Raw genomic sequence first — 21,815 nt, forward strand, 5'->3', positions numbered from 1 at the left:
GGCATTGTAGGGTTAGGGCATGAATGAGGGCATTGCTTTGTTTTGTTTTGGAATGGGAGAGATTAGTATATATTAGTAGTTTTAAACAGTAAATAGTCTTTTATTCTAGGTTGGATAAAATTTATTTTTATGTGTAAGTATTAACTGCCGTCAGTGTTTATTAGTGTTAGTGCAGAGAAAATGGGACTCAGACCAAAGACCTGAGTGCTAATCTCAGTTTTCCCTGAATAATCGCCATAATAATTATAATTACCATTTTATATTCCCTTCTATTTGTCAGTCATTGTGTTAGTAGGTCTTTTGTACATACTATCACTAATCCTCACCACAAATTTATCTCCAAGGTGAGTATTATGCTGTTGTATAGATAGACTCTGAGAGTTTACTTTTTAGGATTACATAGATTTTCAGGATCATGCTTTGATTTCAACACAGATATGTCTGATTCTGAAGTTGGTGCTCTTTTCTCTATATCACGTAGCTTTCTTTTCTAACCTAAAGTAGTTTCTCAAGTTTTGGCTCCTTGTTTCCTTAACTGTCAGATAGGAATAGTTATATCTGTCACACCTATATCAAAGTGTTAAATGAATACTATGGTAATATCTGTATTTTGTTTGAAAAAATATTTATTTGGTTAAATACCAGACTGACCTTATCATTGTGGTCATCTTTAGCACTATCATTTGTCTAAACAGTATTTTACTTTTTAAGGTGGTGGTATCATGGATACAGAAATGTCTGAAGATATAGACCACAACTTAACTCCTACCCTTGACAGCATGTCTTATGGAATGCCGAATCAAACAGGATCTGAAAATTCATTGCTGGATGAAGATGATTATTTTTTGAACTCTGGGGATCTTGCAGGAATTCCAGTCGTTGGTAGTGACAATGAGGATGAACAGGATTTTAGTTCAAAGGACAATCTTGTTTCTTCAATTCATACTGATGATAGCTTGGAAGTAGAGAGAAGAGTCACACAGCATGAATCAGACAATGAAAATGAAATACAAATTCAAAATAAGTTAAAAAAAGACTTTCCTAAACAATTTGATCAGGTTTCTGTCTTTAAATCAATACGGAAAGATTTTAGTCTAGTAAGAGAAAACAGCAAAGAGACATTTTCTGGAAAGGAGAAAAATAGAGACCTAACTTATGAACGTGAAAAACGGTTGGATAAACCCCATAAAGATTTGGATTCAAGGTTGAAAAGCAGTTTTTTTGATAAAGCAGGTAATAATTGTTGGACTTAGAACCATAAAACACAATTAAAAATTACCGATCATAATATATAGCTTTTATTACTTTTGATGTTAAGTGAAGTATGAACGGTTAAATTCATTGTAAGCTTGTCATTTTTCTTTTGTCCTTGTTCTTTGCAGAGTGACTGAATTTCTCCCAGTAACTTTTGGTAATGGTATAAATGGTTGAAAATAGCTCTAAACCTCATTTCTCCCTCCCCTGGTTGCAATGTTTTGATGAGAAAGGCAAGATACTTGAATCACCTGTTCATTTTCTTTGGTTGAACATTGGAACCTGAAGTTGGATTTAACTTCTTTGTGCTGTAAGCACTAATTCAAACTGCTGTCTCACCACTTAGTCCAAATTAGGGAGTTATTTTATTTTTTTAATTTTAATTTAATTTTTTGTTTATTAACTCTCACCTCTATCTGAAAGGGAGTTTTTTTTTAATAAAAAAAACCCAAACATTTCTAATTTATGTTTTAGAAGTTTCTTGAGGTTCCTCCTGAGCCTCTTTGCCCAGTGTACCCTATACTTTAGCTTTAGTTAACATTCTTGAATATATCACATATTTCCTTCTATGCCTTCCTTTCCTCCTGCTATTCCATTTGCCTGCATGTCATTTTCTCTCTGTATATTTGCTTGTGAAAGTACTTCTTATCCAACAATGCCTAACTCATAAACCTCTTCTACTCTGTCATCATTCTAACTGCTCTACATCAAGAATGGTTTCCTTATCTATATTTCCACAGCATTTTCATGCCTCATTATTTATAGTACTTATCACACAGTATTATAGTTCTATATTTGTTTTACCTTACCTACTAGTGTAGGAGTTGAGGGCCAGATTGTATCTTACTCATCTTTGTATTCTTGGGGCCTAACCTGGTGTAGTAAAATAGTAATTCTTCAATAAATGTTCAATAGCTGTGAAGGAAAGCAAGTATTCTATACCAGTCCTTGTATTTCTTCTAACAATGCTAGGAAATGTATGGTAGAAAGAACAAACCAGTATTGTTAAAAAGACAGCTTTTGAGTATGTACAAGTCTGTGCAAGGATATACTATATTTTTCTCTATAATTCAGTATATATTTCCAATATCCCTTCTTGGGGTATGAGAGTCATGTTTCTCAAGGAACATAATGTCTAGTAGTAGAATGGACAAGACAAGTCAGGCCGTAGAAGTGCCAATGTCCAGCTGAATAGCGTAAGATTTAATTTACAGTTAAAGACAGTGGTAGAAGAGTTTGTCATAAGGCAGTTCAAAAAGATGTCTTTCAAATAACTGAAACTGTGTTTTAGGGATTCTTAGAAGAGAGATGATTTTTAACTTAGTGAACAGGGAAGGTTTTATAGAGGAGAGGTGAATTTTTAACTGAGCTGAGTCTGGAAAACTGTATAAAGATTAGGATAGACAGAGGGGACTTGGAATAGAATAAGTAGAAATGGGGGAGAACAAATGCAAGCAATTTTCAGAGCAAAAATAATTTTTTTTTTTTTTTTTTTAGGTTTGAGCAAGGAAAAAATGTAGGGTAAGGCTAAAAGCTAGGTGGGGCCAGATTGTGCAGAACTTTGAGTGAAAATACCTTTTGGGTGTTTTTGGGACCCAGTTCACTCTAACGAGCATCTTTGTTGGAAAAGAGAGGTGATTATCAAATGATAGCTTTTTAGGTCACTCTTTGTAAGATTTGTTATTCATATACATGTGTTTGTTTGTTTTTTTTTTCCTTTCAATAGCTAATCAAGTTGAAGAAACATTACATACCCATTTACCACAAACCCCAGAAACAAACTTTAGGGTAAGTTTTCAGTGTGTATGTAGATTGCTGTAACTGTGACAAGTGTCAAAGTTTTCTTTATGTCAGTTTCTAAATTCTAACAATGTATTAGGTAGAGCACTGATTTTTTTTTTTTAATTTGCTTAATATTTGTTTAAGGTCATCATCGGAGACATTCTAAAAAGCCTCAAATCTTAGGGTCTTTATTTGTATTTGGTATTTGGACATATAACACAATTACTTTTAGGCGTAGGCATAAGATCCAAAAGCTAATGAATGTCCATAGAGTTCTTCATTTCCAATGAGCTTTTCTTTGGGTGTTAAACCTGAAGAGGAATCATTTTAAAATCTGAATATTTATTAATCCTTTATATTGTGTTTTAGGATTCCAGCTACCCATTTGCCAATAAAGAATCCATTGGTTCGGAACTGGGGAATTCCTTTGCATCAAATATTAGAATTAAAGAAGAACCTTTGGATGATGAGTATGACAAAGCAATGGCACCACAGCAGGGACTACTAGACAAAATAAAAGATGAACCTGACAATGCTCAAGTAAACATTTCACCTTTTTTCCCCCCTTCTTTTTGTTCCACACATTGAATTATTCATTTGAGAGAGGAAGTGCTTAAGAAGTGAAATAGTTTGTTGACAGGGTGAAAGGAAACTCTTAAAGAAGGTTGAGGCGATTTGAATTACCATATAAGGCATTAACGAGCTATATGAAACTTTTCCTGAGTAGTAATTAAGGCTTTTAATCATCTTTGTTTCTTAATACCACTGTGATTTTTGCAATGCATTTTAGCGCAAGGCTTTGAGAACTATACAGCAGATATGGTTGAAGATTTATGGTAGTTTATAAGTTTGTGGTGCAATCAAGTTTATGTAGGATAGTAAGCCTTTTGCAGTTAATGCTAATGAAGTACAGGCTATATATGGATTTAAATATTTTTCAGGAGGGGTTAATGGACAGATCATCTTTGGAAGGGTTAATTGATTGAAGAACCAGTTCATTGGATTAGTGGATAGAAGGTAAAGGAGGCTTTGATGAATGATACATGATTCCAAGTTTGAGATCTGTGAGTAATAAGAGTGAAGGTAGAGCTCTGCTATTTCAAGGTTGCTCTGGAGATAAAATCATAGAGATCTTAAAACTGTGAGGTCCTGAAGTCAGCTAAGCTATCCATGCAGTTAATGATGTTGCTGTTGTTGGAATAGAAGAAAAAAGTTATATCAGATGCTGCAATCATTTTGAAGTGCAAGAAGGGGTCCAAGGGACGAATATGCAATAGCAGCAATTATTTGAGGGTATCTGTGTTTTGTAAAGATGGTATGAATTGGCTCTTTTTCTGAAATGACATTTAATCTGGGGGAAGCTTATATTTTCCTATCTTTCTGTTTATATTAGAAGGTTTGAGACTGTCAGACTTCTGTGGAAGTGCTTTCTTTTTCTTTTCTTTCTTTTTGTTTTTTCTCTTTTTTTTTTGAGACAAGGTCTTGCTCTCTTGCCCAGGCTGGAATGCAGTGGTGCAATCACTGCTCACTGCAGCCTCAACCTCCCAGGCTCAAGTGAACCTCCCAGCTCAGCCTCTTGAGTAGCTGGGACCACAGGCGTGTACCACCACACTGGCGAATTAAAAAAAGATTTGTAGAGGGGCCAGACGTGATGGCTCACGCCTGTCATCCCAGCACTTGGCAGGCTGAAGCCAGCAGATCACTTGAGGTCAGGAGTTCCAGACCACCCTGGCCAACCTGGTGAAATCCCATCTCTACTAAAAATACAAAAAATTAGCCAGGCATGGTGGCGGGTGCCTGTAATTCCAGCTACTTCGGAGGCTGAGGGAGGAGAATCACTTGAACCAGGAGGTGGAGGTTGCAGTGAACTGAGATTGTGCCACTGCCCTCCGGCTTGGATGACAGAGTGAGACTTTTTTTTTGGTAAAGTAAGTTGCACAAGCTTGTCTCTAACTTCTGTGCTCAAGCGATCCTCCTGCTATGGCCTTCCAAAGTGTTGGGTTTACAGACGTGAGCCACCGTGCCTGGTCAAGTGCATTTTTCATTTAGATGTTTTTGGACAGGATTTCTCAAACTCCACAGCATTGACATTTTGGACCAGATAATTCTTTGTTGTGAAGAAATGTCCTGTGCATTGCAGGACATTTAGTAAGCATTTGTGGCCTCTACCTACTACATGCCAGTAGCAGCCTCCTCCCTTGCCAATTTTAACAAAAAATGATCTATTGAGAACCATTGTATTAGAGTAAGCAGATGGAAGAATAGGAGATTGCAGAGGTTGGTGATTCATGTGAGTCACTGAGTCAAATTGATGCTCAGTTAGCATGAATTCCATGACGTTCAGTGGAAGTTGGATGTGTTAGGGTAGTGATAAAGCTATAGGAGTTGGATGGATATGAGTATACTTGCTACAAAGAAGAAAGTAGAAGGAATATAAATAGATTTTTCTGTTCTATTTAAATAGAAGGTAAATAAAAGCATGTTTATAGAAGCAGGTAATGGAGATCTTAGATATCTGAATTAGGGATAAATAGATGTCCCAACACCTGGGGAAAGTTCATGTGGCAGTATATGCTTCAGAAGACTACAGCCATGTCTATATGAAGGGCAGATCTTGTATCTCTTCTCCTGCCCCAATGTGGGCATGCTGGCAGGGTACCAAAATCATCTCTTTCTTTTGTACTTGAACCATGTGACACTTCCTTGGGACAAAAAGGCACTTAGAGCATAAACCAAATACAATAGGGGTAGAGAACACTGAGAAGGTTATTAGTATTGTTGTTTTCAGAACAATCAGAGGTTCCAGTGGCTGGAGAATATAAATAGGATGGAACAGATAGAAACACTTAAATTTTTATATACTTATTCAGAATTATAAAATGTGTTATCAAATACTGAATATGAATATGAAGTTTCATCATGATTATGGGAAGAACTTCCCCAAAGGCTTACTCCCTGATTGATTGGACTTGAGAATTAAGCAGTAATGTGAGTAGGTCCTGGGCATAAGATCCAAAAGCATTCTTTACCCTGACCCCACAATAAGGGACTTGTAGTATGTGAGTGGATAGAGCTAGGTTTTCCCTGAGGAGTCCTTTTTGTTGTCAGCAATACCAGTCCTATAGGATCAGACCTTTGATAATTCTTCTAGAAATCCCCCAGAGCAGCTCTCATGTTATAAACTAGATATGTGATTCTTTCCTTCTTTTCTTTTTCTTGTCTTTTCCACACCCGTCTCCACCTTCCCTCCTTCTTTTAGAAGAGTATTGCCTTTCAAAATTGCATAATTTATTACTTTTATTCATTTCCCATGGACTGGAAAAGAGAACTCTAGTGTATTATATTATTAGTCTCAAAAAAGTACTATTAGCCTCTCATAAAATACTGATAGATTTTACAGTTGTGGTCAGTGTTTACTTTTGACCATCAGTTACCAGTAACTTCTTTCATGGTTCAATAAAATCATAGCTTTAGTTTATGGCACCTTTTCAAAACTTCCTTTGGCTTTTCTTTGTGCTTAATTTAGGTAGTTTTGCTTTTAGCTCACTTCCTAATTCTCTTTTTTACACAATTCATTTTGGTCCTAATTTCTTTACTTTACTATATAAACAAGGTGCTGAAATGTGTGTGTATGTATTTAACTTCCTCTACCCATTTGCTCTTGGTTATTTCTTCAGTTATGATATTCTGGATTTGCCAGTCATTGTCCGTCCTCCTGCCTCTATTACTGGCATAATGTCATTGGGTCTCACAGTTTCATTTCTTCATTCTAATTCTATTGCATGTTTCTATAATGTTTTCTGTAGTATTTTTACAGTTACAGATGCTTTTACACGTACTGTGTTGCTTAATTCGCCTAACAACCCTGTATAAGATGGCCAGAGTAGAGGATGTTAACATTTATAGGTGAGAGAGCTGAGAGATATAGAGATTTAGTTACTCAAGCCCTCATGGCCAGGAAGGAGCCAATCTGGGGTCATAATCAAAGTCTTTTTTTTTTTTTTTTTTTTTTTTAGTCTACCAATCTTTCTGTAAATAAAAGTTGTTTAATTTTAAAAATACCAAGGGAAGGTTTCAAAATAGATACTTTAAAGAGAGCCAGAGACCTCATTTTCCTCTTTTGCCTTTTCCATAGGGTCTAAAAACTGTACATTCAGTAAATACTACATTAAAGTCATGATTTCTTTTTCTTCTTGTTCATAATAATAGAGGACGAGCTAATGTGTAGTCTCTCATTGAAAGAACTCAATTAAAATGGGAAAGCAAATGAACTAATTGTCATAATAGTCATTCACACAGTTTTGGAAAGAAAATGTAGTAATTCAAATGTTGGGGCTCTTTTAGCCATATTGAGTTAATTTGGCAATAGAAACTGTGTTATTCATTTCTAAAATACTTTCATGGGATATTAATATTGATCTTCATTTGTAGTAAACTAAGAAGGTAAAGGTATTGGTAAAGGAATTTTTTTGTGTTTTGGCATGTGTTTTTCTGCTTCTGAAAGCTTTTGGGTTACCAATTAGATATTTACTTCTCAGAAAATATTTATTAGTATTTGGCTACTCATTGATTTGTTTATCAAATACTTGTAAAATTAGTGATCATGGGAGGATCCAAACATAAACCAAACATGATTGTGCCTTGAAGGCATTGTGGACCATACAAACAGTACTTAAGATGTATACTATTTTACTATATTACATAAATAATACGTACTCAAGGCTAAAGGAATCCAGCAGAAGTTTGCAATAGCCATCACAGAGACTAAGAGAGCTGACTGCAGACCGTTAATGTATGCCAATGAGTATTGGTTGTTTCTGGAGTTTTCTGAGATTAAAATAAAAATATTTAAGGAAATTTTCTTTAATACACTATATAATGAAGGAATGTCATGATTAGTCGATGTTAGAAAATCTTTTAATACATATATTTCATCAGCAGGTCAAATAAGGGTATCTGTAATAGTCACTTTATTAGATGCCAAAAGACATCTCATGTAATTCAGACATTTCTTAGAATAGATTTTTTCTTGATCATAGTAAGGAACTACTACTTCAGATCAGTAACAGTTATTGAAGTTGAAGTAAAATGATGGAAATCTTCTGTTAATATTACTAAAAGAATACAAGTTGCGGATGTCATCGTTATTATTTAACTCTTGTTGGATTTTTACTTCAATCCATGTTAAAGAAATTAGAAGAAAAAATAATGGAAAAAGGGAAATAAAATTATCACTTGCTATTAAGAATATTTATGAAAGAATTAATAGAATTCATGAAAATTTAGTGGAGTACCTAGTTGAATTATACCAATACTTCTATAAATAAACTTCCCAGTTAGATGATATAATGAAAAAGATACACTATTCCCAGCAGCAACTAAAAAGTACTTATATCAAATACAACTTGAAATAATGAAGAGACCATCTTTTTAAATGTAAGAAATATGTAGATGTCAGTTATTTTTAAATTAAGATTTAAGGCCAGGTGCGGTGGCTCACGCCTGTAATCCTAACACTTTGGGAGGCCAAGCGGGGGGCGAATCACTTGAGGTCAGGAGTTCAAGACCAGCCTGGCCAACATGGTGAAACCCTGTCTCTACTAAAAAATACAAAAATTACAGAAATTAGCCGGGCGTGGTGGTGCATGCCTGTAATCACAGCTACTCGGGAGACTGAGACAGGAGGATCACTCGAGCCTGGGAGGTGGAGGTTGCAGTGAGCCAAGATCGCACCATCGTGCCCCAGCTTGTGGGATAAGAGTGAAACTCCATCTCAAAAAAAAAAAAAAAAATTGAGATTTAGATTTGATGCAATTCTGATGAAAATATCAATGGTTAGGTTATGAAGTTTTGTAGAAGAATAATAGGCATGCACATACACACACTTATTACACATATATTCTAAAAAATGGATGGAGAGGTTGAATGTGGCAAATGCTGTTAAATGGTTGAACATCATACAATTAATTAATTTTTTTTTTTTTTAAAAGACAGAGTTTCACTCTTGTTGCTCAGGCTGGAGTGCAATGGTGCAATATTGGCTCGCTGCAACCTCTGCCCTCCCACCACCCTGGGTTCAAGCGATTCTCCTGCCTCAGCCTCCTGAGTAGCTGGGATTACAGGCGTGCACCACCACACCCCGCTGATTTCTGTAATTTTAGTAGAGACAGGGTTTCACCATGTTGGCCAGGCTGGTCTCAGACTCCTAACCTCAGGTGATCCACCCACCTCGGCCTCCCAAGGTGATTGGATTACAGGTGTGAGCCACCACGTCTGGCCATAAGTATCCTACAATTAGTTTCGTTAGGATAGCATGATATCATAAGATTAGTCAGACTGAAAATGATATAGAAGAGATAGCCCAAAAACAGACATTATTTTTTAAGAATTTGATATATTTATCAATGGCAAATGAAAGGAATTCACTATTTAGAGAAAGATAAAGAGGTGGGCATGGTGGCTTATGCCTGTAATCCCAGCACTTTGGGAGGTTGAGGCGGGTAGATACTTGAGGTCAGGAGTTCAAGACCAGCCTGGCCAACATGTTGAAACCCCATCTCTACTAAAAATACAAAAATTAGCCGGGTGTGGTGGCAGGCACCTGTAATCTCAGCTACTGGGGAGGCTGAGGCAGGAGAATCACTTGAACGCAGGAGGCAGAGGTTGCAGTGAGCCGAGGTTGAGCTAGCCTGGGTGACAGAGTGAAACTCTGTCTCAAAAAAGAAAAATGTTCATTATACATCAAAATGAGTAAATTCCAAATGGACTAAGGCAGGGGTTGGCAAATTATCAGTGGTGGGCCAAATCCAGCGCCCCCCCCCCACCCATTTTTTTTGTTTTTCCACCCACTGCTTTCATAAATAAAGTTTTATTTGAACATTGCCACATTCATTCATTTACATATTATGTGGGTGCTTTTGCTCCACCAGAGCAGAGTTGAGTAGTTGGGACAGAGACCATATGGCCTGCAAAGTCAAAAATATTTGCTATCTGGTCCCTTACAGATAAAGTTTGCTGATCCCTGGAGTAAATGAATGTATTATTATAAAAATGAAACTATTTTCTTATTCTTTTAATGTGGAAATAAAACTTTGTAAGAGATAGAAGAAATCACAAAGGTAAAGACTGTCAGATTTTTTTGGCACAAAAATGGAAACAAATATATAAAATTTTAACTTAACGTACATATTGAGGAAATGTTGATAACAAATGCTACTGAGAGTTAATAGTGTTCCATTATAATGTACTTTTTGTAAATGAACATTAAAAATAGCTGCAAATTGAAACAAAGTGGGAAAATACTTTTAAATGGTGTTTTTTTCATAAATTACTGGAGTAAATATAATTAAGAACATTTTTTGGGGAGGAAAACAACCTGTCATTATGTATCAAGAACCTTTACTATGTACCTTTTTACCTAGTAGTTCCACTTCAGGAATTCTTTTCTTAGGAGATAATCCTAAATATGGGAGTATGAATATTCACAGAGATATTCATCGTGGCATTACTGATTGTACTGAATATGCGGAAACATTAAATGGACCAACATTGTGTTGTGGTTATAAAATCTTGGTGCCATTGGAGCCGGAGGCAGAAGGAAAAAATCAGTAATACTGATTTGGTATTTATTTAAAAATTTGATATTTTGCTCTTCATGGACCTTGCATAAATTTGATTTTTAAAAATACTGTGTTAAAATATTATCTTCATTACTGAGGTTTTTGGTGCCCCCTTAATTTTGTACCTGAGGCATGTGCCTCACTCACCTCATCCCAGTCACATCTCTGTGTAATGTGTTATGTTTCTTAAATAATACATATTTGTATTTTCAAACTTGAGTAATGTGCCGACAACTCCCCATCACAAAAAAAGGAGATATATCTGAGATACTCCAGAATTCCAAGAATAAGTGATCTTGCAGAGTTTTTGCATGTTTCAATATGATAAACAATATATTAAAATAAAAGTTAAATCTATTATGTAATGATTTTAGAATGCAATTGTATAATTGTAAAAAGCAAACAGCACTGAAAGGTTGTAGTAGAACTCAGTTATATGGTGGTTACTCATGACTTAAAATACGTGTATATGCACATAGAAATCATTGAAATAAAAACAAAATTTAAACAGCATTCTTTTAGAATTTTCAGACTATGTAGACCTCAGGGATTCTTGGACTTCAGTTTTAGAAACACTGGTATATTTAGCCATTAGAAGTAATTTTGGAGTAATATATACTAATATACAAACGTTCAAATGATTCAAATGAGCAAAAAATCAGTTTATAAGAATGGTATATTTAATATAATTACAACTTATTAAGAAATAAAACCTCTGCATTGAGGAGGGGAAAAGACTGGAAAGAAATATACCCAAAGAATAACAGTGATTGTTTTGGGGTGATTAAAATATGATTAAATTTTTTCTTATTTTTATTTATCTAAATTTTCTATAGTGATTGTGTATTACTTTTATAATAAACAGTAACTTATAATACTTTAATAAAAATAAAATTAAAGATTTTTCAAAAATAATAAATACTTAGTGTCACAGACTAAGTAGATACTTTCATTTTTTTCTGTCTTACACTCCTAGCATATACATATTTTACCTATATTTAATTATAGTTTGCTTGCTGTTTTGTACTTTATTATTTCTTACTAATGTTTTAAACATTTTCCACCTCTATATAGTGGTAGTAAAATGTCTTGAATGTCTGGATGTCTTTAGGTATTTATTCTTTTCTCTATGTATTTATTTATTTTTTTCTTCTTTAAAGGAGTATAGTCATGGCCAACAGCAAAAAACTCAAGAGGGGGAACTGAAAATTAGTGCTGTGTTTTCAGTCAGTGGCAGCCCTCTTGGTAAGAAACAGACCTGAATAAATGGATTGTGTATGTTCTGACCAATATGAATGAGAAGAAATTCTGCTTGTATTAATAAACCAGGCAGCTCTCTCTACCCACTTAGGATGCCTTTAAATTGTATATTGCATAATTACTGTTGGGTTTCAAGACTAGTTCTAGAAGAGAAAGAAAGAATGTCTACTTAAAATTCATGGTAAAAAGTAAAACATTTTTTTCTTTCAATTTTTTTTTTTTTTTTTTTTTTTTTTTTTAAAGCTCCACAGTTGACTACTGGCTTTCAGCCCTCACTGGCGTCATCTGGCATGAATAAAATGCTTCCTTCAGTTCCAGCCACAGCTGTTCGAGTTTCCTGTTCTGGTTGTAAAAAAATCCTCCAGAAGGGGCAAACTGCTTATCAGAGGAAAGGGTCTACTCAGCTATTCTGCTCCACACTGTGCCTCACTGGATATACAGTTCCACCTGCCCGCCCACCGCCTCCTCTCACCAAGAAAACTTGTTCAAGTTGCTCAAAGTATAGCAGAATTCTAAATTATCTTTTTTGTTTCTTTCCTTTCTCTTAACATACTTTGTTCTTAGGTCATGTATTACATTTGATATTCTACATTTATTCCTTTTTTTTTTTTTTTTTTTTTTGAGAAATACCACATTATTTTCTGTCTGCTTTCAGTTGTTGCTTTTCAGTCTTCCAGGTGCTAGGTGCTCAGCTTGTTTTTTAGCTTTCAATAATGTTACTTTTATGTATTGTTTTTGAAACCAGCTCTCCCATCCTTGTTAGTTGAAGTGCCTGATATAACAAAAAGTGCACATTTAGGGATATTGTATTACAGCAGTATTTTATAACTATAGGCAATAGATATTTAAATCCAACAAATATTTTAAGTTATATTTCCTGTTATGTAATTTGAATTTCTTTAATACTTTTCTTCTTAACCTTAAATGGCTTCCAGTGTGTGTGTGTGTGTGTGTGTGTGTGTGTGTGTGTGTGTGTGTGCGCACATTTATTTATTTATTTATTTTGAGACGGAGTCTCGCTCTGTTGCCCAGGCTGGAGTGCAGTGGTGTGATCTCGGCTCACTGCAAGCTCCGCCTCCCGGGTTCATGCCATTCTCCTGCCTCGGCCTCCTGAGTAGCTGGGACTACAGGTGCCCGCCACCATGCCCAGCTAATTTTTTCTATGTTTTAGTAGAGACGGGCTTTCTCTGTGTTAGCCAGGATGGTCTCGATCTCCTGACCTCGTGATCTGCCTGCCTCAGCCTCCCAAAGTGCTGGGATTACAGGTGTGAGCTACCGCGCTTGGCCTATATTTTTATTTTCTCAATGTCTCTGAACTACCACATTGTGTCCATTGGAATGTTTAATAACAAAAAAGGGGTATGATCTTATGACTGTAATAAGGTCATCCTGATATATTTGAGGAATACACAATAACTTTGACTAATTTTATGATTGTTAGAAACAGTTTAAGTCAGAAAAAGAGGAATAATGCTCTTGTTCTGAAACACTCTATCAGGCTACTCAAACCATGATTCATTTATTACTTTAGGCGGTAATGTTTATAGTTCCTCACACAGATGCTGCACTTTGTCTGCCCGGAGAGGAGAAAAAGATACTCCTCCTCCTAGTTCAGTTAGATAAGAGATGTTTAAAAGAAATTTAAATATGGTTAGAAGTTTTTCTGGAAGTTACTGATATGCACATCGTTTATGCTTCATTTTTTTGAAATGACCGACAGGGTAAATTTTGGTTATATTTGAGGCAGCTTAAATATATACTGTAATTTATATATACAAATGTAGATTAGACTTCAGTTTTCTTTGGAATCTCTATTTTTATTGTAAAATTGCCGCTATTTAAAAGAACAATAGAAACTTCTGCAACTTTTTGTTTTGGGACTATCTTTCAAGCTAATTACACATTCTTTTGAATAGCTTCTGTGCTATCAAATTTTTATCTCCTGAGTGCTTATTTACTGTTCACATGTGGCTAAAAGCCATTTAGAACCATGTATATTGATTAAAGTGCAGATTAAGATATTTTATATCAATTTTTGTTCAAAAATGAAATTTGATTATATAAGATTGGTGCTTTTGTGACTTTCAATGCCTTTTGTGAAGGAATTTATAAAAGGGAATTTAAAAAATATATCTTTGAGTTATGTTGTCATTGTTAGAATAATAATTATACCAGGGCTATTTTGAGTGATAGATTTTGGCTTATTTCTTTAAAAATTTATTTCATTAGAACATAAACCATGAGGAAGTAGTTGGGAAAGGTGTCAGGGAATGTTGGTTAAAGGATACAAAATTTTTTAGTTAGAAAGAATTGAAGATGTATTGTACAATATGGTGACTGTAGTTAATGATACATTGTATTCTTGAAAAATGGTGAGAATAGATATAAAATGTTCTCACCACAAAAATGGTAACCAAGGAAAGCATATATTAATTAGCTAGATTTAGGCATCGCACAGTGTGTATGTGTATACACACACAGACACACACACACAGGTTGAGTGTCTCTTACCTTCAATGCTTGGGACCAGAGGTGTTTCAGATTTTGGATTTTTAAAAAGGTTTTGGGATATTTGCATTATATCTACTAACTGATTGAGCATTTCTAATCTGAAAATCTGAAATTTAATGCTCCAATGAGCATTTCCTTTAAACATCATGTTGGCGCTCAAAAAGTTTCAGATACTGGGAGCATTTTGGATTTCTGGATTAGGGATACTCAGCCTGTTCTTTAAAATATGATGTTGTGGCTGGGCGTGGTGGCTTGCGCCGGTAATCCCAGCACTTTGGGAGGCTAAGGCAGGTGGATCACTAGAGGCCAGGAGTTCAAGACCAGCCTGGCCAACATGGTGAAACCTCCATCTCTGGTAAAAATACAAAAATTAGCTGGGCCTGGTGGCACATGCCCATAATCCCAGCTACTCAGATGGCTGAGGCACAAGAAACACTTGACCCTGGGAGGTAGAGGTTGCAGTGAGCCAAGATTGCACCAATGCACTCCAGCCTGGATGACAGAGTGAGACTCTATCTCAAAAAAAAAGAAAGAAAATTATGTTGTACACATAGTAAATACATATAATTTATGTCAGTATAAATAAATATATATATATGCATATATATATATATACACACACACCCACACCCCCCACAAGGGTAGGAACTTTGTGTATCTACTTCAATATACCCAGCACAGTAAATGCTTAATAAGTATTTGTTGAATGGGAGAATTAATGATCTTAACTTTTTTTTTTTCTTTTTTTTTTTTGAGACCGAGTCTCGCCGCTCTGTCGCCCAGGCTGGAGTGCAGTGGCGCAGTCTCGGCTCACTGCAAGCTCCGCCTCCCAGGTTAACGCCATTCTCCTGCCTCAGCCTCCTGAGTAGCTGGGACTACAGGCATCCGCCACCATGCACAGCTAATTTTTTTTTTTTTTTTTTTTTTGTATTTTCAGTAGAGATGGCGTTTCACCATGTTGGTCAGGCTGGTCTCAAACTCCTGACCTCCTGATCCACCCACCTCAGCCTCCCAAAGTGCTGGGATTACAGGCGTGAGCCACCGCGCCCGGCCCTGCACGGCTAATTTTTTATATGTTTAGTAGAGGCAGAGTTTCACTGTGTTAGCCAGGTTGGTCTCGATCTCCTGACCTTGTGATCCACCCGCCTCAATCTCCCAAAGTGCTAGGATTACAGGTGTGAGCCACCGCGCCCAGCCCAATGATCCTAACTTCTAAAAAAGCTATACTTACTACTTTATAGTTATAACTTATGTAGTAAAATTATTTAGTAAAAAGAGACTTTATACTGCTTGAATTGTAAAATGTACTTTTAAAAATGAGTACTTAGGTATATATCCTGTCTCTAATTTCTGTATTCCAGTATGTTCATCATGGGATTCTTTTTTTTTTTTTTTTTTTTTTTTTTTTGAGACAAGAGTTTTGCTCTTGTTGCCCAGGCTGGAGTGCAATGGCACGATCTTGGCTCACTGCAACCTCCACCTCCGGGGTTCAAGTGATTCTCTTGCCTCAGCCTCCCGAGTAGCTGGGATTACAGGCATGCACCACTATGCCCAGCTAATTTTTTTGTATTTTTAGTAGAGATGGGGTTTCTCCATGTTGGTCAGGCTGGTCTCAAACTCCCGACCTCAGATGACCCACCCGCCTTGGCCTCCCAAAGTGCTGGGATTACAGGCATGAGCCACCGTGCCCGGCACTCATCATGGGATTGTAAGACTTAAATCAGTTTGAAGATTTTAATTTTTATAGTTTTTTTTCTGTTTATTTTGCCATGAAATCATTCACATAATAACTTCATGTTTCTTTATTTAATTCTTACTCTAGGGATCAACAGTCTTTAAAATTTCAGTGATATTTATCCTTTTATAATCATAGCTATAGGCTGGGCATGGTGGCATGCACTTGTAGTCCCACCTACTCAGGAGGCTGAGGTGGGAGGATTGCTTGAGCTCAGGAGTCTGAGACTCAGCCTGGGCAACATAGTGAGACCTGGTCCCCCCCAGCTCCTAAAAAAAGTCAGCCACATCTCCGTCTCAAAAAAAAAAAAAAGTCAGTCATAGATTTTTTTTTTTAAAGATTTATCAGTTATTTTCAAAATGGCTATGGAAAACACGTAAGTTTTAAAATATGCCCTCTTTCTCGTTTTAAAAAATTATTACTATTGTCCATACATGTTACTCTTTTCATCTAGATTTATCATGTTTCTTTGGCCTCCAGTCTCTGGTGTTTGCCTAAGCTTTATTAGAGACAGGTCATTTCTACCTATGTGTCATTTTATCTATGTCTTGATCTTATGTAATTCAATTGCTCTTTAAGATTATGTTCTCTTCTCATGTTTGGTTTATCCATTATCCAAATTTTCCATTTCTTTAACCTGTTATCCCTTGACTCTTTACAGTTCTACCTTTTTATTCACTTAGTCTTTTACCCTTTTTTTATTCGTTCACCCCTTTTTGTTGTTTCAGGTACTCCTTACTTATCTCCTTAGCCTTTTCTTCTTCATCTTCTTTCTTACTTTTCTCCTACTTCTCATTTTACATAATACTTACTTTTTGCTTCAGTCTTCAACCATTGTCAATCTTGTTTTTCCTTATATTCCATTTTACTTTCTGAACTACTCTTTAATCTCCTGTTCAACACTACCTTTCCTTCTTTTTTATCCCCTCTTATTTACACGGTGATTACAACAGTTTGGTATAGTCTGATTTATCTGATTGTAAAATTGATGAGTTGGATGTACCAAAAATATAAGGAAGCTAAATTCAAAGAAGGTAAAAGATTTGCTTGTGTCACCTAGCTGGTTAATTTTGGCATATGCATTGTTTCTCTACATAGTCTATGTAGTCAAACAGGTTTCATTTAGAAATCATTCCCCATAAGAAGGGTTTCAATTTGATTTGAACAGGCAGAGATGGAAAAAATTTCCTCTCTGATAACTACTGCTACTGTTGTATACCAGTAGAAATATAACAGCAGCACTTAGGTTAGAAGAAGCTCATTAGCTATTCAGAATAAATTTCATTTTTCTTAATTTTTGGTAATCATATCTCAGCCTGTTGAATTTAACTTAAACTCTGAAAGAATTTTGGTTGCCATTTAATTTTTAGGTTTCCTTAATGATAGGGACCTAATAATTTGTTTTAAAAAATTTGTCTTGGCTGGGAGCAGTGGCTCATGCCTGTAATCCCAGCACTTTAGGAAGCCAACATTGGAGGATTGCATGAGCCCAGGATTTCGAGACCAGCCTGGGCAACACAGTGAAACCTCATCTCTACAAAAAGTTAAAAAATTAACCAACTGTGGTGCCACATGCCTGTAATCCCAGCTGCTTGGGAGGATGAGGTGAGAGGATTTCTTGAGTCCAGGAGTTTGAGGCTGCAGTGAGCTATGATCACACTCCTGCTCTTCAGCCTAGGTGACACAGCAGGACACTATCTTTGAAAAAAAAAAAAAATCTCATATTTTGCAGAGAAGAGGTAATTTGGAGGATAATTTTGTTAATACTGTTAGATCAGATTCTTGTTATAATGATATTCAAAGAAGTAACACCCAGATTGTCTGTACCATTTCTGAATTTTCACTAACTTGAATGAGATTGTTTCTTCTCATTCTGTCATAAGATATAATCCACTACCACAATAAGATGTAATCTAATTGGACTCTAAGCATAGTGAGAGCAGTGAAAAAATACCTAATTTTATACTTCCATTTCCTTGATCCATGCTGCTCCCAATTCTTATCTCCTTAACTTTCTGGAAAACTCCTATTTAAGGTCCAGCTAAAATATCACCCTTTGGGTTGCATTTCATGTTACATGTAGTCTGAAATAATTGTTTCTTCATTTATATTTTTATGGCACGTTATTCGTGTCTTCTCCAAAAATTATTTATACTTCTTTTTTTTTTGAGACGGAGTCTCACTTTGTTGCCAGGCTGGAATGCAGTGGCGTGATCTTGGCTCACTGCAACCTCTGCCTCCCAGGTTGAAGTGATTCTCCTGCCTCAGCCTCTCGAGTAGCTGGGACTACAGGCACACGCCACCATGCCCAGCTAATTTTTTTGTATTTTTAGTAGAGATGGGGTTTCACCGTATTGGCCAGGATGGTCTTGATCTCTTGACCTCAGGTGATCTGCCCACCTCGGCCTCCCAAAGTGCTGGGATTACAGGCGTGAGCCATCACACCCGGCCTATAGTATTTTAAGAATGCTTCTGTTACAGTATTTTATAAAATATTTGTCTATTTGTCACAATAACTCTGAGCTCCTTAAGTACATACGTCTCTTTTTTGAGATGGAGTCTTGCCCTGTTGCCCAGGCTGAAGTACAGTGGTGCGATCTGGGCTCACTGCAACTTCCGCCTCCCAGGTTCAAGCGATTCTCTTGCCTCAGCTTCCCGAGTAGCTGGGACTACAGGCGCATGCCACCATGCCCGGCTAATTTTTGTATTTATAGTAGAGACGGGGTTTCGCCATGTTGGCCAGGCTGGTCTCAAACTCCTGACCTCAAGTGATCTGCCCACCTCAGCCTCCCAAAGTGCTGGGATTACAGGTGTGAGCCACTGCGCCTGGCCCATATGTGGACCATATTTTGACTAAGGGTTTCGTTAATGTCTGGCTCAATGTAACTACTCACTAAATATCCTTCTCACTAAATATCCCTCTATGAAATACATTAAAACCTAATTTTAAAAATAACAGGAAATGCAAAAAGCAAAGCAGTCTAGAGCTGCTAAGTATGGAAGATGGCAAGGTATGGAGTTATGTATTATAGTAAAATATTAGGTGCTCCTAACGATGATTTCCCATTATATCTACTATTTTACTGAAGCAGAGAGATTTGTATAGCCATACTTCAGAGATATTCAGGATTTGGTTCCAGACCACCTCAATAAAGCAATTAGCTCAATAAAGCAATTATCTCAATAAAGTGAGTGATATTAATTTTTTGGCTTCCCAGTTCATATCAAAGTTGTGTTTATACTGTAGTCTGTGTGCAATAGCATTAAATCTTTAAAAACCAATGTACATTTTTAAATTAAAAATACTGCATTGCTAACAAATGCTAACAATCATGTGAGCCTTCAGTGAGTCATAATCTTATTACTAATAGACAGTCTTGTTTCAATGTTGATGGCTGCTGATTCAGGGTGATGGTTGCTGAAGGTTTTGGTGGCTGTGGCAATTTCTTAAGATAACAATGAAGTTTGTCACATCAGTTGACTCTTCCTTTCACAAAATATTTCTTTGTGGCATGCAATAATATTTGATAGCATTTTACCCAGAGAAGAACTTTCCAAATTGGAATCAGTACTCTCAGACTCCACCATTGCTTTATCAACTAAGTTTATGTAATACTTTAAATCCTTTGGTGTCATTTCACCAAAGTTCACAGCATCTGCACCAGGAGTAAATTCCATGACAAGAAATTACTTTCCTTGCTCATCCATTGGAAGCAACTCCTTATCTGTTCAAGTTTTATCATGAGATTGCAGCAATTCTGTCGCATCTTCAGGCTCCACTTCTAGTTCTCTTACTATTTCTCCCACATTTGTAGTTATTTCCTCCACAGAAGTCTCAAACTCCTCAGAGTCATCTGTGAGGATTGAAGTTACCTACTTCCAAGCTCCTATTAATGATGATATTTGGATTTCCTCTCATTAATCATGAATGTTCTTAATGTCATCTGGAATGGTGAATCCTTTCCAGAAGCTTTTTAATTTCCTTTGGCCGGATCCGTTATAGGAATCACTATCTATGGCAGCTGTAGCCTTAGGAAATGTATTTCTTAAATAATGAGTTGCAAAAGTTGAAATTACTCCTTGATCCACAGGCTGCAGAATAGATACTGGGTAAGCAGGTATGAAAGTAACATTAACCTCTTGTACATCTCCATCAGAACTCTTCAGTGACTAGATGTCAGTGAGCAGTAATATTTTGAAAGGAATCTTTTAAGTGTCCTGGGATTTTTGAAAGTTAAAAGTAGAAGCTGGTGGCTTCTACTTGAAGTCACCAGCTATGTTAGCCCCTAACAAGTCAGTCAGCCTGTCCTTTGAAGCTTTGAAGCCAAGCATTGATTTCTCTCTGGCTGTGAAAGTCCTAGATGGCATCGTTTTTCAATAGAAGACTGTTTCTTCTACATTGAGAATCTTATTTAGTGTAGCCGCCATCATAAATTGTCTTAGCTAGATGTTCTTGATAACTTGCTACTGCTTCTCCATCAGCACTTGCTGCTTCACCTTGTACTTTGATGTTCCAGAGATAGCTTCTTTCGTTAAACCGTATGAGCTAACCTCTGCTAGCTCTAAACTTCTGCAGCTTCTTTACCTGAGTCTTCCTAGAATTCAAGAGAATTAGGGCCTTGCTCTGGATTAGGCTTTGGCTTAAGGGAATGCTGTGGCTGGTTTGATCTTCTATCTAGACCACTATAACTTCTCTCCACATCAGCAGTAAGACTTGCGCTTTCTTTTCTGTTGTTGTTGTTTTGAGACGGAGTGTCTCTCTATCACCCAGGCTTGAGTGCAGTGGCGCAATCTCAGGTCACTGCAGCCTCCGCCTCCCGGGTTCAAGCAATTCTCCTGCCTCAGCCTCCCAAGTAGCTCAGACTACAGTCACGCGCCACCACGCCCAGCTAATTTTTCTATTTTTAATAGAGATGGGATTTCACCATGTTGGCCAGAATGGTCTGGATCTCTTGACCTTGTGACCCACCCACCTCGACCTCCCAAAGTGCTGGGATTACAAGCGTGAGCCACTGCTCCCTGCCTAAGTTTTGCATTTTTTAGTAGAGTCGTGGTTTCACCATGTTGGCTAGACTCGTCTCCAACTCCTGACCCCAGTTGATCCGCCCGCCTCGGCCTTCCAAAGTGCTGGCATTACAGGCGTGAGCCGCCACGCCCGGCCAACTGTTGCGCTTTCTTATCATTCCTGTCTTCACTGGAGTAGCCCTCTTAGTCTTTCAAGAACTTTTCCTTTGCATTTACTATGTGGTGAAATGTTTGGCGCAAGAGGCCTAGCTTTCCACATGCCTTCCTCACTAAGAGTAATCATTTCTAGCTTTTGATTTATAGTGAGAAATGTGGGACTCTTACTTTTGTTGAGCACTTAGAGGCCATTGTGAGGTTATTCATTGGCCTGCTTTCGATATTATTATGCCTCAGGGAATAGGAAAGCCTGAGGAGTGGGAGAGATACAGAAGTGGCTGGTCAATGGAGCAGTCAGAACACACACAATTTTCAATTAAGTTTGCTATCTTACATTGACGTGGTTTGTGGTTACTTCCCAAAACAATTACAATAGTAACATCAGTGTTCACTAATCATAGAAAAACAGATATTATAGTAGCAAAAACGTTTGAAATATTGGGAGAACTACCAAAATATAATACAGAGACATG

At 36.8% G+C, this 21,815-nt stretch overlaps 1 protein-coding gene and 1 long non-coding RNA gene across 21 annotated transcripts in view, besides 1 other annotated feature; one reads left to right on the plus strand and one right to left on the minus strand.

The window, feature by feature from the left end:
• ZMYM4 (zinc finger MYM-type containing 4) overlaps window positions 1–21,815 on the plus strand; it is a 153,350-nt gene that overhangs the window by 89,505 nt on the left and 42,030 nt on the right. For 11 of the 20 annotated variants that reach the window (XR_246305.5, XR_007064889.1, XR_007064890.1 and 8 more), the window contains 5 exons: window positions 712–1,233; window positions 2,981–3,042; window positions 3,406–3,576; window positions 11,816–11,900; window positions 12,159–12,414. The exons of 2 other annotated variants lie outside the window; for them this stretch is intronic. Coding sequence is in view for 15 of the 18 variants with exons in the window: in NM_005095.3 (NP_005086.2) it covers window positions 712–1,233; window positions 2,981–3,042; window positions 3,406–3,576; window positions 11,816–11,900; window positions 12,159–12,414 (1,096 nt within the window). In the remaining 3 variants the exon portion in view is untranslated. Of the gene's footprint in view, window positions 1–711; window positions 1,234–1,388; window positions 1,565–2,980; window positions 3,043–3,405; window positions 3,577–3,977; window positions 4,054–11,815; window positions 11,901–12,158; window positions 12,415–21,815 lie in introns of those variants that run through there. 7 more of the 20 variants (XM_024450838.2, XM_047434278.1, NM_001350140.2 and 4 more) reach the window with 4 other exon arrangements.
• ZMYM4-AS1 (ZMYM4 antisense RNA 1) lies at window positions 609–7,864 on the minus strand. The gene is made up of 2 exons (NR_046659.1): window positions 7,753–7,864; window positions 609–955 (listed from the first exon to the last, which is right to left on the minus strand). It is a non-coding gene; the product is annotated as a ZMYM4 antisense RNA 1 (long non-coding RNA).
• Window positions 3,420–3,921: an enhancer, noted in NCBI's record as "NANOG hESC enhancer chr1:35827234-35827735 (GRCh37/hg19 assembly coordinates)". NCBI's record gives its function as "activates a minimal SCP1, AML or CMV promoter by ChIP-STARR-seq in primed H9 embryonic stem cells {active_cell/tissue: H9 hESC(primed)}" and the evidence as "EXISTENCE:reporter gene assay evidence [ECO:0000049][PMID:30033119]".

This window comes from Homo sapiens, chromosome 1, assembly GCF_000001405.40.
Source record: "Homo sapiens chromosome 1, GRCh38.p14 Primary Assembly".
Lineage (NCBI taxonomy): Eukaryota > Metazoa > Chordata > Mammalia > Primates > Hominidae > Homo > Homo sapiens.